A 15,995-nucleotide genomic window follows, 5' to 3' on the forward strand; every position below is an offset into this window, starting at 1 on the left:
CAAAAATAAAATAAATCCACTAAGTTACCACCTGAAAACTAAAGGTGGCCTTGGGCTTCTATAGCCTATCAACATGGAAAGACAGGAAATAAATGAGGTAAACCAAGTACTTGCCCTAGCTTACAGCCTTGACAGTTTCAGGTAATGTAAGAAAGCAGAACCCAGACAGCCCAACAGTCTTCTTTAGTTGAGGAGATAAAGGTAAGAGTCCAGGGAAACCATCGTGGCTAGAATTCCAAGAAGAGATGACCAGAGGAGAGAGAGCTGCACAGAGAAAACTCCAGAGATGTGCAGAAAGCCTCCCTCAAATACACAGCTGAATACAGATCAGCGCAGGAGTGTAAGGAAACTACCCAAGACTAGGAAAAAAAATCATCAGAAAGGATTCAAAGTAATACTGCTAGGTAATCACAGGACAGGGAATTGTGTCTGATCCCACCAATCAAAATTTTAAAATCTCATGATTAGCAGAACACTGGATAGAGTACACACAGGGGTCTAACCTCAGTAGTAAGGAATAATTTAGTCAGATAGACTGAGAATAGCTCCAGTCCTATCTAACAAACATTAAAAGAAAGACTCAAAAGATTCACACTTTTTTGAAGTAACTTAACTGCATCCCAGAATAAGGCTCAAGAATATTTAAGGAATACAAAAATGTCCAGGACAGCAGAAGGTAAAAATCACCTATCAAAAGTTACCAGGCATGCACAGAAACAGGTAAGTACAATCTATAATGGGAACAATCAAAATGAACAAAGAATAGATACAAACATTATAATTAATAAACAAGGATATTAAAATAGGTGTTGTAACTATATTACGTGTGTGCAAAACTAGTCACTTAAAAAATATTAAAAAGTCCCAAATCAGACTACAATGTCTGAGATGAAATATACTTTGTATAAGATAAACAGCAAATTTTATGTGTCAGAAAAAAAAGATGAGTGAACTTGAGGACACGCAATAAAAAGTATCCAAAATAAAAGAGAGAGAAAAAAGAATTAGGAGAAAAAATTTGACAGGGCAGTGAACTGTGAACCAATTTCAAGGAAAGACATATACATTTCATTGAAGTTCCTGAAGGACAAGAGAGAGAGAAAAGAACAGAAATATGTAATAAAATTATGACCAAAATTTTTCCAATTTTGATAAGCTACATACCCAAGAAGCTCAATAAACTAAAGGCACAAGAAACATTAAAAAAAAAAACAAAAAACCTACATCAAGGGACATCATAATCAAACCTTCCAAAATCAGTGATTTTTAAAAGAAAATGGGAAAAAGCAGCCAAATAACAAAAGACAGGCTATACACAGAAGAACTAAGATAAGTATGACAACAGAATTATCTTCAGAAAAAAAGCAGGCAGCCAGGTAGCCAAGAGTGGTGGCTCACACCGGTAATCCCAGCACTTTGGGAAGCTGAGGCAAGAGGGCAGCTTGAAACCAACAGTTCCAGACCAGCCTGGGCAACATAGCAAGACATATCTCTGTTCATTAAAAAAGAAAAAAAGAAGTAGAAAATGAGTGATAAGACAATGATACTATATATTATTTAAATTTCTCTAAAAGACAATTAACTAAACTAAAAGTAGTGTGCTGGGTCTATAACATAGGTAACAGTAAGCGTATGACAAACAGCACAAAGGTTAGAGAGAGGGGAAGTGGAAGGTTTTTTTGGGTTTTTTTTGAGACGGAGTCTCGCTCTGTCACCCAGGCTGGAGTGCAGTGGCATGATCTCGGCTCACTGCAAGCTCCACCTTCCGGGTTCACGCTATTCTCCTGCCTCAGCCTCCCGAGTAGCTGGGAATACAGGTGCCCACCACCGCACCCAGCTAATTTTTTGTATTTTTAGTAGAGATGGGGTTTCACCATGTTAGCCAGGATGGTCTCGATCTCCTGACCTTGTGATCCGCCCGCCTCGGCCTCCCAAAGTGCTGGGATTACAGGTGTGAGCCACCACGCCTGGACTATGGAAGGTTTTTATACTATGTAGGAAGTGATGTATCACTAAAAGATAGACTATGATAAGTATACTAGATGTATAGTATAAACCCTATAAAAATCACTAAAGCAAAATGGAGTTCTAGCTAATAAGGAGCTACGCCAACGAGAAGATGAAATGGAAACAGGAAGAAATATTCATTAATCTAAGAGAAGGAAGAAAAGGAGGAAGAAGAGAATAAAAAATGAGACATATAGAAAATAAATAGGCCAGGCACAATGGCTCACACCTGTAATCCCAGCACTTTGGGAGCCAAGGTGGGTGGATCACAAGGTCAGGAGTTCAAGACCAGCCTTGCCAAGATGGTGAAACCCCTTCTCTACTAAAAATACAAAAAACTAGCCAGGCATCGTGGCAGGCACCTGTAATCCCAGCTACTCAGGAAGCTGAGGCAGAGAATTGCTTGAACCCGGGAAGCGGAAGTTGCAGTGAGCCAAGATTGCACCACTGCACTCCAGCCTGGGCCACATGGTGGGACTCTGTCTCAAAAAAAAAAAAAAAAAGAAAGAAAAGAAAAGAAATAGTAAGATCATATTTTTAAACACATTAAATATAGAAGATCTAGGGCCAGGCACAGTGGCTCACGCCTGTAATCCCAGCACTATGGGAGGCTGAGGCGGGCGGATCACGACATCAGGAGATCGAGACTATCCTGGCTAACACGGTAAAACCTCATCTCTACTAAAAATACAAAAAAAAAGAATTAGCCGGGCATGGTGGCAGGCGCCTGCAATCCCAGCTACTCGGGAGGCTGAGGCAGGAGAATGGCGTAAACCCGGGAGGCAGAGCTTGCAGTGAGCCGACATCGCGCCACTGCACTCCAGCCTGGACGACAGAGCAAGACTCCATCTCAAAATAAATAAATAAATAGGATCTAAAATCCTCAATTAAAAGACAGAGAAGGGTAGACTATATATTTTAAAAAAAAAAGCAGACACAATACATGTTGCCTACAAGAAATGTGCTTTAAATATAAAGATAGAAATAGGCTAAAAGTAAAAGAATAGAAAAAATACATCATGCTGATACTAATCAAGTCAACTATGGAACTAAACTAAAATCAGTAAAAACCTTTAGAAACCCCTCAAATATTTGGAAAGTAAATAACAAGCTTCTAAATAACCCATGGATCAAAGAAAAATCAAAAGGGAAATCAGAAGGTATTTCTAACTGAATGAAAACACAACATATCAGAATTAGCAGGATATCACCAAAATAGTATTTAGGGGGAAATTTACAGCAATAAATGTCCACAGTAGAACGGAAATCTTTCAAACCAATGACCTTAGCTTTCAATGTAAAAAATAAGAAAAAAAGAGCACATGAAACTCAAAAGTAAGCACAAGTCAGGAAATAATAAAAATCAAAATAGAAATCAAAGAAACATGCAAAATCATAGGAAAATCAATGAAACCAAAAGCTTGTTCTTTGAGGATATCAGTAGAACTGATAAACTTTCAACCAGGCTGATTGAGAAAAAAAAACAAAACACTAATTCCCAATATTAGGAATGGAAAAGTAACGTCACTATAAATGCTAGACAGTAAAAAGATAAAAGAATACTTCAACAACTTTATGCCTATAAATTGGACAACATAGAAGAAATGAACAAATGCCTTGAAAGACATTAGCTTCCTAACATTTTCACAGGAAAGTATTTGTTTCCTACTGCTGCTGTAACCAATTACCACTAACCTCACTGCTTAAAAACAACATGAACTTATTATTGTATTACAGGCTAGAGATCAGAAATCCAAAACCAGTTTCAATGGGCTAAAACCAAGGTGTAAGAAGAAATGGTTTTTGGCATGTTCTCACTCATAAGTGGCAGTTGAACAATAAGAAATCATGGATACAGGGAGGGGAACATCACACACTGAGGCCTGTTCGGGGGTGGGGGGCTAGGGGAGGGATAGCATTAGGAGAAATACCTAATGTAGGTGACGGGTTGATGGGTGTAACAAACCACCATGGCACGTGTATACTTATGTAACAAAACTGCACATTCTGTACATGTAACCCAGAACTCAAAGTATAATAAAAAATAATAATAATTTTAAAAAAAGAAGAAGAAATGGTTTTTCTAGAGGCTCTGAGGGAGAATCCATTTCCTTGCCTTTTCCAGTTTCTAGAGGTCACCTGTATTCATTGGCTCATGGCCTCTTTTTTACATCACCCTAACCTTTTGCTTCCATCATCACATCTCCTACTACTGACTCTGATCCTCTTGCCTTCCCCTTAATAAAGACCCTTATGATTACACTGGGCCCACACAGATAATCTAGGATCATCTCTCTACATCAAGATGCTCAATTTATTTATATCTACACAGTCCCTTTTACCAAGTAATGTAACATATTCACTGGTTCCAGGGATTAAGGCATGGACATCTCCTAAGGGACCATTATTCAGCCTACCATAGACACAAATTACCAAAACTCACTCAATAAGAAATAGAAAAACCTGAATAGTGCTATCTATATCTAATAAAGAAAGTGAATTTATACTTTATTGTTTTTTGTTTGTTTGTTTTTTGAGACAGATCACTCTTTCACCGAGGCCGGAGTGCAATGGCACTGTGTCGGCTCACTGCAACCTCTGTCACCTGGGTTCAAGCAATTCTCCTGCCTCAGCCTCTCGAGTAGCTGGGATTACAGGCATCCACCACCACGCCCGTAGTTTTTATATTTTTAGTAGAGACGGGGTTTCACCATGTTGGCCAGGCTGGTCTTGAACTCCTGACCTCAGGTGATCTGCCAGCCTCGGCCTCCCAAAGTGCTGGGATTACAGGCGTGAGCCACCATGCCCGGCCAAGAATTTATACTTTAAGAACTTGCCACAAAGAAAATTCCAAGACAAGGTGCCTTAACTGATGAATATTACCAAACATACAAAGAAATAATACCAATTATATACAAACTCTTCCAAAAAACTGAAAAGGAGGAAATACTTCCTGATTCCAAAATTCTATGTGGCTAGTACCTAATACCAAAACCAGATAAAAATATTACAATATGCTTCATGAACATAGATGCAGAAGTTCTAAACAACCCTTTAGCAAATCAAATCCAAAAATATATGAAAAGGATAATAACAATATATCATGACCAAGTAAGATCAATCACAGGAATGCAAAGTTGGTTTAATATTTGAACATCATTCAATATAATTCACCTATTAATAAACTAAAAGAGAAAAACTTTGCAACCATCTCAACAGACAGAAAAAGTATTTCACAAAATCAGACATTCATACTGGATAAAAAATTCTCAGCATACTAGAATATAAGAGAATTTTTTCAACCTGATAAAAAGCATTTAAGAAACCCACAGTTAACAAAATGTTTAAAGGTAAAAGAATGCTTTTCTCCTACAACCAGAAAACAAGATAAGGATATCCACTGTCACCATTTTTTTAGTGATACCTACTAAATGAGTTCATCCTCCAATGTCATTCAGCTGCTCAATAAAGGTTATCCAGGGTAAGGACTTTGTCTCTTGGATGTGATGGAAAAATTTAAAGCAAGGTAAAGACATCTCAGATATCAGCAAGAACGTGTAATAATGGACAACAGATTCTATACTGTTGTATAGAAGAGGAGGAGGAAGAGATGAATGAGAGAAAACAAAAGTTAACAGATTAGAGCTCTGGGTGAGGTAGAACTCTTAGAGAACAGATATTTGAGCAAGTGAGCTAGAAAGATAACAGATTATAGTTGGAGAATGAAAAGAATAAATTAGTATTTTGAAATTAGAGTTTTTCTAATGATAAGATTTAGGGCATGACCATAATGGTAAAGAGTGAAGTGCAGAGAAAATTTCTACTTCTTAATATTTTACTAGACGTGCTTCTTTGATTTAAATTGCCACCTACTGCCATGGGTCTTTAAATCTGCCAATCTAATCTATCTAATTAGAATCTTTGTTTAAATTCAGCAATTCTGAATATTCTACCAACCCTCAAGCCACCCTTGACTCTTCAAGTCCCTATCACACAATAAACACCTGTTTATGAGTACCTTATTTTCTAATTCTATACACCTCAAAATTTAACACTTCACTATATACTGGTTAAGTCGCCATACTGCATTTGTTCAGATATTCTTTATCAGTTTACAGGCTTTGTGTAAAAAGAGAATAGGGCTCTTTTTTTTAGAACATATTCTACACTCATTTTCTTCAATACACTGTATTAAGTGTTATACTCATGTTTCTTTTCTACTCTCACAGATTTAGTACCAAGCTAGGTAAAAGTATTTCATAATTGAGAAATAAATCAAAAAGAGGAAAAGAAAAAAAGGAAGAAATCAAAGACAGTATCTACAGAAGCTTCTAGAGACATGAAAGTATACAAAAGATTTTCTGTGAAAATTGGTGAGCTCTCATCAAATTTGAAGAAAGAAAAAAATTCAAAACAAAGCCTGGAAGTATTATTTCTCCCCCCTTTTCAGACCCTTAGAAGACATTCTTGTAAGTTCTCTAACACAGTCTCAATATGCCATACTATAGGAAGGGAGCTTTGACCCTTTTCTATCTATCTCAATTTGCCTTATTGCATTCAGCTTTCTTCACAGAGCAGTATGACAAGTTTTACTAGAAATTATAATTTCCTTTAGACGAAGACTATTTGCAGTGATTCCAAATTAGTTACCCTACAACAACAACAACAACAACAACAAAAAAAACAAATATCCAATAAAATATACTTCATGAGAAAAAAATTAAAAATGACCTTAGGAGCCAGAGGCTTTCAAACTAAAAGTAATTTCACATTTTTATGAACAATGATCTAGTAATTTTAGATAGTTTAGCTAATCAATAGAAATAGCATTATTTGTTTGACCTGATGCAAAAAGTAAGGCATTTTTTAAAAAGATCCTTTTTAAAATACAAATAATGCCTAATTCCTTTCCTATAGAAATTACACAAGTACGTGACTAAAATCAAATTTGGTATGATGTATTACATGTTAATAACTGCAAAACCTAGCAATTTAAGGAATAAATCTTATCTAAACAGTGTGTATACTATTCATTATATAACAGATTTAACGCATACCAATGAATGTAAAGTTATATACACGTAAACATAAGAACATTGCTACAAAGCAGAAACTTTCATTACCAGTATTAATACACTGTCAATTACCAAGCCAAATACCATTTAATCTTCACAGCCTTATAATAACAGCATTATCATTAAAGTAATTGTTCAGATGAGAAAACTGAGGCTTCACAAAGTTACACAATTTGCTCATCACTGTATAGCCAAGACAATTTCAATATACAATCAGAATTGTCTTTCAACTGAAAGAAATAAAACCAACATTAAGACAATTTCTTGATATTTAAGAACTTTAACAGAGATGATACAGTGTGCTTTAACTCAGCAATCAGTTAAACTTTATCTTTTTTCTTTCTTTTTTTTTTTTTTTTGAGACAGAGTCTCACTGTGTTGCCCAGGCTGGAGTGCAGTGGCGAGATCTGGGCTCACTGCAACCTCTGACTCTCGGGTTCAAGCGATTCTCCAGCCTCAGCCTCCAGAGTAGCTGGGACTACAGGCGCCTACCACCACACCTGGCTAATTTTTGTATTTTTTATAAAGACAGGGTTTCACCATGTTGGCCAGACTGGTCTCGAACTCCTGACCTCAGATGACCCACCCGCCTCGACCTCCCAAAGTGCTGAGATTACAGGCGTAAGCCACTGCGCCCAGCCTAAACTTTTTCTGTAAAGGGCCAAATAGTATATATTTTAGGCATTGTGGGCCATGCAGTCCCTGTCATAACTACTCGAATTCACCATTTTAATAGAAAAGTGGCCACAGACAATATGTAAATGAATTAGCATGGCTGTGTTCCAAAAAAACACTTTATTTATAGATGCTGAAATGCAAATTACATATAATGTTCATGTATCACAAAATACTATTTTTTTAACCATTTAAAAATGTAAAAACCGGCCGGGCATGGAGGTTCACACCTATAATCCCAGCACTTTGGGAGGCCAAGGCGGGTGGATCACCTGAGGTCAGGAGTTCGAGACCAGCCTGGACAACATAGTGAAACCCCGTCTCTACTAAAAGTACAAAAAATCAGCCGGGTGTGGTGGTGGGTGCCTGTAATCCCAGCTACTCCAGAGGCTGAGGCAGGAGAATCACTTGAACCCAGAGGCAGAGGTTGTAGTGAGCCGAGATCGTGCCACTGCACTCTAGCCTGGGCAACGAGAGTGAAATTCCGTCTCAAAAAAAAAAGTAAAAACCATTCTGAGCTCACAGGCCACACAAAAACAGGAGGTGGTCATAGTTTGCTGATTCCAATTTTAACTGAAAAGTTAAACATTAATAAACATTTTTAATTACATAAATATAACATATTATACTTAAACACAAATAATACTTTGTCAAGTATTGAGTTTCAAGTAATTCTGTCATACATTATTTCTGTAACTTATGCATACTGATATTCAGAATTACAGTACCTTTTTTCTGGTATCACTTTTAACTTGCTCATCTTGAGTTACTTCATTTCATAATTGCAGATAATCTAAAAGAAAAATGTTAATGATATTAAAAACTTATAACTCTTTTTTCTATATATTAGATATCACAGAAGCCATACAATGGAAAGTTTTCATTATGGGCAACACAAGATAACACCGGAAACAAAAAGAGAACATTTGAGTTCTATGTGCTTCTACTGGGTCGCTTCAGAATGCAATGTATGACTATAAAAATACCTATAATCAGCCAGGAAACTTATCAAAATCCGGAGCTACAAAAACGCAGAAACCTAACATAATGTCATTTGCAACCTAATGTTAAGATCTTTTGAGACAGTTCAAATTATGCTTTCTGTTCTAATACTCCTCCTTAAAATACATAAACCAATCACAGCATCCTGTGATTAGTGCACTTACTGTACACCATTCACACAGTAGTCAAATACTAGTCAATATGTGTTATTTCCATATAAGAACATTTTCAAATTAGTAAAAGCTTCTATGCACATCTTCCCTCAAACAATAGTTTTCATTTTTAGACATTATATATGTTTAAACAACCTTAAATCTCGATTCACACAATTTTTATAAATCTTCAAGTTTATTTTGCAACTATTAACCCTAAAATACTCTAAATATCTTTTAAATACCAATGCTTACTGTAGCAGAATTTTTTGGCATCACCAAAAAGTAGAATAACTACTGTGAATTCAAAAAGTTAATCATGGCTGGGCATGGTGGCTCATGCCTGTTATCCCAGCACTTTGGGGGGCCAAGGCAGGTGGATCACCTGAGGACAGGAGTTTGACACCAGCCTGGCCAACATGGTGAAACCCCATCTCTACTAAAAATACAAAAATTAGCTGGGTGTGGTGGCAGGTGCCTGTAATCCCAGCTACTCAGGAGGCTGAGACAGGAGAATCACTTGAACCCGGGAGGTGGAGGTTGCAGTGAGCCAAGATCGTACCATTGTACTCCAGCCTAGGCGACAAGAGCGAAACTCCATCTCAAAAAAACAAACAAACAAACAAACAAAAAACCAGTTAATCACATACTTATGAAATATTTAGTAATGTCATATTTAAAGAGACAACAAACACACAAAAAGGGCAAACTTCAAATTGTTTAACTTAATACATTTGGAAGATACTCTGATGAAGTAGAAGATATTCTGGATGTTTGTCTTCAATAACAGAACTTTTCAACACGACATACATAATTTTTTTTCATTTTCCTTAACTAAGAAAAGGAAATATTTAGAATTGTGTACAAAAATTACATGAATTGTTTTTAAAGTCAATGAGAAATTTTAAATTGTAATTTTTTTTACTCTTTTTTAAGACACAACTACAAAATCAAAGTAACTTTTTTCTATTTCTAAATTAAGTAAAAATCACTATATATCCACAGGGAGAAAAAAATCTTACGTGATTTCAAAAGCACTGTTGCTGCCACAAACAGAAGAAACTATTAATACACTAACAGCACATCTCATGAAAAGTTCCCTGTGGATTTTACTAGAGTTGATAGAGTTGAAAAGAATAATGGTGAGCACTAATATCATAGCCAACTGTATTTCAACAGATAAGAAATGATTTGAACTTGCAGTTCACAGTAAAATAAACCACAGGCATTTCTCTCCTCTTACTCTTGGGACTAGATTACAGTAAAAGTAAAGAAATAAAGTTGGTTCCTCTCAAGTCCTCTGGCGTTACCAAAGTGAACAGATCCAGGAGCTGAAGAGGGTCCATAGGTGGGAAGTGAAGTCAGTGCCTCAGTTGCCAGTGTGTGTTTTGTGCCTTATCCTTTAATCACGCAAAAAAGGAGAATACTGCAGTGAATGAAGTGCATTTTAGCACTGCTTTTTCTACTGTAATTGGTGTTTGAATGAGGATAACAATGGAAGAGATGAAGAATGAAGCTGAGGCCATTTCCACGTTTTATATGCCCTTCTATGCAGTCATGTATCCTGTGTGTAATGAGCTAGAAGGAGTAAATCTGCCTGCAGCTCTAGAATGAGTAAATCTGTCTGCAGCTAGACACCAAGACCATTTTCATTATGGTTGAAAAAGACAATTGTAAAATGTAGCTTCATCATAATCTCACACTGAAGATTTTTTGCATCATTTTTGCTATTATCATTCTAAGAATTACAAATCAAAAGAATCTACACCTTAATGTGTCATTATATAGCATTCCTTAAAATAATTATAGATATTGGTATTGTTTCTGGCATTTTAACTTGAAAGTGATATGCTGCAAGATAACATATTTAAGAATATTTGATGGCAAAAATTCAATATATGGTATATATCTGTTAAACATCTCTTGAAAAAATGAATATATATGTGTGTATATATGATCAGAATATCAAGACAACGTGGTGTAATGCCTAAAAAACTTCTAACAGGAGCTTATAATAGCAGCTTATCAAAAATAAAGGGCCGGGCACAGTAGCTCACACCTGTAATCCCAGCACTTCGGGAGGCCAAGGCGGGCGGATGACCCGAGGTTGGGAGTTCAGGACCAGCCTAGTAAACATGGTGAAACTCCATCTCTATCAAAAATACAAAAATTAGCCTGGCCTGGTGGTGCAAGCCTGTAATCCCAGCTACTCAGGAGGCTGAGGCAGGAGAATCACTTGAACTGGGAGGCGGAGGTTGCTGTGAGCTGAGATCGCACCACTGCACTCCAGCCCGGGTGACAGAGCGAGACTCTGTCTCAAAAAAAAAAAGAAAAAAAGAAATAAAGCAAACAAGAATTCTGAAGAAGGGAGGGAGGAAAGAAGGAAGGTTGGTTATGTTTAAACCTAGTGACAAAAAGGAAAACTAAGAGGGAAGAAGGAACAGGTATTATGCTAAGAAGAACTCAGGAAACTAGGAACCTAGCACTCAGAAACAAGGACGACAGAGGAAGACTACAAAACAGGGCTAACTAAAACTTTGGAACTGCAAATAGTAACTTCTTACCTCCTCCATATCTCCATGCCCTACCACTGTGGAACATGCTCAGCAGTATCAAGCATCTAACCCCTGGCAAATAATCTTCACTAAAGGAACAGACAACCTCAAAGAATTCTGCTTTCTAGGCTTAAGAGTCCCCCAGGAAAAAGGTCAGTTCTCAACCCTGTTATCCTAAAGTAGGCCAGTGTATCCCTTACAGTTCACTTTTTATTACTGAAGCCTGAAGCCAGAACATAATGAAAAATCTTGCGAAAGCTTGTGTTGATTACAATATGGTGTAACAGAAAGTGCAGGCACCTAGAAGCAGAAGTGTTGCATTTCACCAAGTTTGTGGCTTTGCCAAGCAAGTGTGATAAAGCAAGAGGGCAGAGGAACTGAGAATGTATGAAAAAAAGTGATAAAAACTGAGCTCGAAATTTAGGTATAATCTCCTCTTTCCTCTTTACTGAATCATTTTCATCACCATAAAATCATGATATTTCTGTGTCTTAGGAAAAAAACTTTCTCGCTCCCAATTCAGCTACTGTCCCATTTCTCTCCTTCTGAAAGCAAAGACTTGTTTATGCACACTGTCAACAAGTCCTCCCTTCCAATCCTCTCTTAAACACATTCCAATGAGACTTTCCCCACCCCACTCCACCAACACCATTCTTATCAACAACTAATGATCCCCATGTTACTAAATCCAATTGTCAATTCTCAGTCCTCATCTTATTTGTCCTATCAGCAGCATTTGATACAGCTGACCACATCCTCTTCTTGGAAATGCTTTCTTCATTTGGCTATATACTTTGCTTTCTCCCAACCTCACTGACCACTTCTAAGTTTCCTTTAACGGAATGCCCAGGGCTTAGTCCTTTCTTGTCCTCTTCTAACTACAGTCTCTTCCTTGGTGATCTCATCTAGTCTTGTAATTACTCAACATTTCCACTTGAATCTCTAATAATATTACCAACTCGACATATGCAAAACGGATCTGACCTTCCCTTCCAAGTGTGCTCTACTCTGGCTTTCCCATCTAAGTTAAAGACAATTCTATGCCTCCAGTTGCTCAATTCAAAACCTTAGCTTCATCCTTGTCTCCTGTCCCACATCCAATACATCAGAAAGTCTTGATAATTCTACTTTTAAAATATATCCAGAATCTGATCACTTTACCACATCTACCACGGTCAAGTAAACAATGTCACTAGTCTCCCTTCTACCTCTGATGCCCCCTACAGTCTATTCTCAACACAACATGCTTAGTGATCCTTTTAATACACTGGGGGACAGAAGAAGGAAAAAACACCTTAAGTAGATTTTTGTCACTACTCTGCTCAAAGCCCTGTGCGGCTGCCAATTTCAATGACATAAAAGACCCTAGAGGAATACCCCCAGTCCTTACCTCCCTGTCTTCATATCCTACCTACAACTTTTCTCAGTCACTCTGCTCTGGATGCACTGGCTGGGCCTCCATGTTTTCCTCCAACATGCCAGGCTCTCACTTTAGTGCCTTTGCATAAGCTGTTTCTTTTGCCTGGAATGTGCTTCTGCCAGATATCCCAATAACTAACTCCACCACTTCCATTGCTCAAGTATCACCTTTTCAATACAACCCATCCCAACCAACCTATTTAATATTGCAAACTACCTCCAGACCCTAGCATACCCATTGCCCTTGCCGGAATCTACTTTGTCTTCTTCCAAAGCACTTACTGCCTTCTAAAACATGATGATTCAAAAATAACTGAACAGGCTGGGTGCAGTGACTCACGCCTGCAATCCCAACACTTTGGGAGGCCCAGGTGGGAGGACTGCTTGAGCCCAGGAGTTCAAGACCAGCCTGGGCAATATAGCAAGAGCCCTTCTCTAAAAAATAAAAAAATTAACTAGGTATGGTGGCATACACCCGTAGTCCCAGCTACTCAGGAAACTGAGGTGTGACAACCACTTGAGCACGGGAGGTTAATGCTGCAGTGAGCTGTGTTCACACCACTGCGCTTCAGCCTGGGTGACAGAGCAAGACGCTGTCTCAAAAAATAAATAAAATAAAAATAACTGAACATTTTTGCTATGGTCTGAATGTTCGTGTGCCTCCCAAAATCCTTATGTTGAAAAGCTAACCCCCAAGTGACAATATGAGAAGTTAGGGCCTTTTGGAGATAATTAGGTCATAAGGGTGGAGGCTTCATGAATGGGATGAGTATCCTTTTTTTTTTTTTTTTAATATACTTTAAGTTCTAGGGTACATGTGCACAACGTGCAGGTTTGTTCCATAGGTATACATTGCCATGTTGGTTTGCCACACCCATCAACTCGTCATTTACATTAGGTATTTCTCCTAATGCTATCCCTCCCACAGCCCCCCACCCCCTAACAGGCCGTGGAGTGTGATGTTCCCCGCCCTGTGTCCATGTGTTCTCATTGTTCAACTCCCACTTATGAATGAGAACATGCAGTGTTTGGTTTTCTGTCCTTGTGATAGTTTGCTGAGAATGATGGTTTCCAGCTTCATCCACGTCCCTGCAAAGGACATGAACTCATCATTTTTTATGGCTGCATAGTATTCCATGGTGTACCTGTGCCACATTTTCTTAATCCAGTCTATCACTGATAGACATATGGGTTGGTTCCAAGTCTTTGCTATTGTGAATGGTGCCATAATAAACATACGTATGCATGTGTCTTTATAGCAGCATGATTTATACTCTGAGTATATACCCAGTAATGGGATCACTGGGTTCTAGTTCTAGTTCTAGATCCTTGAGGAATTGCCACACTGTCTTCCACAATGGTTGAACTAATTTACACTCCCACCAACAGTGTAAGTGTTCCTATTTCTCCACATCCTCTCCAGTATCTGTTGTTTCCTGACTTTTTAATGATCGCTATTCTAACTGGTATGAGATGGTATCTCATTGTGGTTTTGATTTGCATTTCTCTGATGACCAGTGATAACGAGCATTTTTTCATGTGTCTGTTGACTGGATAAATGTCTTCTTTTGAGAAGTATATGTTCATATCCTTTGCCCACTTTTTGATGGGGTTGTTTGGTTTTTTCTGGTAAATATGTTTAAGTTCTTTGTAGATTCTGAATATTAGCCCTTTGTCAGATAGGTAGATTGCAAAAATTTTCTCCCATTCTGTAGGTTGCCTGTTCACTCTGATTACAGTTTCTTTTGCTGTGCAGATGCTCTTTAGTTTAATTAGATCCCATTTGTCAATTTTGGCTTTTGTTGCCATTGCTTTTGGTGTTTTAGTCATGAAATGTTTGCCCATGCCTATGTCCTCAATGGTATTGACTAGGTTTTCTTCTAGGTTTTTATGGTTTTAGGTCTTACACTTAAGTCTTTAAACCATCGTGAGTTAATTTTTGTATAAGGGGTAAGGAAGGGATCCAGTTTCAGCTTTCTACATATGGCTCGCCAGTTTTCCCAACACCATTTATTAAATAGGGAATCCTTTCCCCATTGCTTGTTTTTGTCAGGTTTGTCAAAGATCAGATGGTTGCAGATGTATGGTGTTATATCTGAGGCCTCTGTTCTGTTCCATTGGTCTATATCCCTGTTTTGGTACCAGTACCATGCTGTTTTAGTTACTGTAGCCTTGCAGTATAGTTTGAAGTCAGGTAGTGTGATGCCTCCAGCTTTGTTCTTTTGGCTTAGGATTGTCTTGGCTATGCGGGCTTTTTGGTTCCATATGAACTTTAGAGTAGTTTTTTCCAATTCTGTGAAGAAAGTCATCGGTAGCTTGATGGGGATGGCACTGAATCTATAAATTACCTTGGGCAGTATGGCCATTTTCACAATATTGATTCTTCCTATCCATAAGCATGGAATGTTCTTCCATTTGTTTTTGTCCTCTTTTATGTTGTTGAGCAGTGGTTTGTAGTTCTCCTTGAAGAGGTCCTTCACAACCCTTGTATGTTGGATTCCTAGGTATTTTATTCTCTTTGAAGCAATTGTGAATGGGAGGTCACTCATGATTTGGCTCTGTCTGTAATTGGTGTATAGGAATGCTTGTGATTTTTGCACACTGATTTTGTATCCTGAGACTTTGCTGAAGTTGCTTATCAGCTTAAAGAGATTAGGGGCTCAGACAATGGGGTTTTCTAAATATACAATCATGTCATCTGCAAACAGGGGCAATTTGACTTCCTCTTTTCCTAACTGAATACCCACTATTTCTTTCTCTTGCCTGATTGCCCTGGCCAGAACTTTCAACACTATGTTGAATAGGAGTGGTGAGAGAGGGCATCCTTGTCTTGTGCCAGTTTTCAAAGGGAATGCTTCCAGTTTTTGCCCATCCAGTATGATATTGGCTGTGGGTCTGTCATAAATAGCTCTTATTATTTTGAGATACATTCCATCAATACCTAGTTTATTGACAGTTTGTAACATGAAAGGCTGTTGAATTTTGTCAAAGGCCTTTTCTACATCTATTGAGATAATCATGTGGTTTTTGTCATTGGTTCTGTTTATGTGATGGATTATGTTTATTGATTTGCGTATGTTGAACCAGCCTTGCATCCCAGGGATGAAGCC

General features: G+C 37.9%; 1 protein-coding gene across 22 annotated transcripts in view; it reads right to left on the minus strand.

Annotated features, from left to right (window-relative positions):
• The window catches only part of AGTPBP1 (ATP/GTP binding carboxypeptidase 1), a 258,945-nt gene that overhangs the window by 157,478 nt on the left and 85,472 nt on the right, over positions 1-15,995 (minus strand). For 20 of the 22 annotated variants that reach the window (XM_047423094.1, XM_047423090.1, XM_047423089.1 and 17 more), the window contains one exon: positions 8,486-8,550. The exons of the other annotated variants lie outside the window; for them this stretch is intronic. In XM_047423094.1, coding sequence (XP_047279050.1) covers positions 8,486-8,517 — 32 coding nt within the window. In that variant the 5' untranslated portion in view covers positions 8,518-8,550. The remainder of the gene's footprint in view (positions 1-8,485; positions 8,551-15,995) is intronic. 22 annotated transcript variants of the gene reach the window in all.

Source organism: Homo sapiens, chromosome 9 (assembly GCF_000001405.40).
Source record: "Homo sapiens chromosome 9, GRCh38.p14 Primary Assembly".
In the NCBI taxonomy this organism is placed as follows: Eukaryota; Metazoa; Chordata; class Mammalia; order Primates; family Hominidae; genus Homo; species Homo sapiens.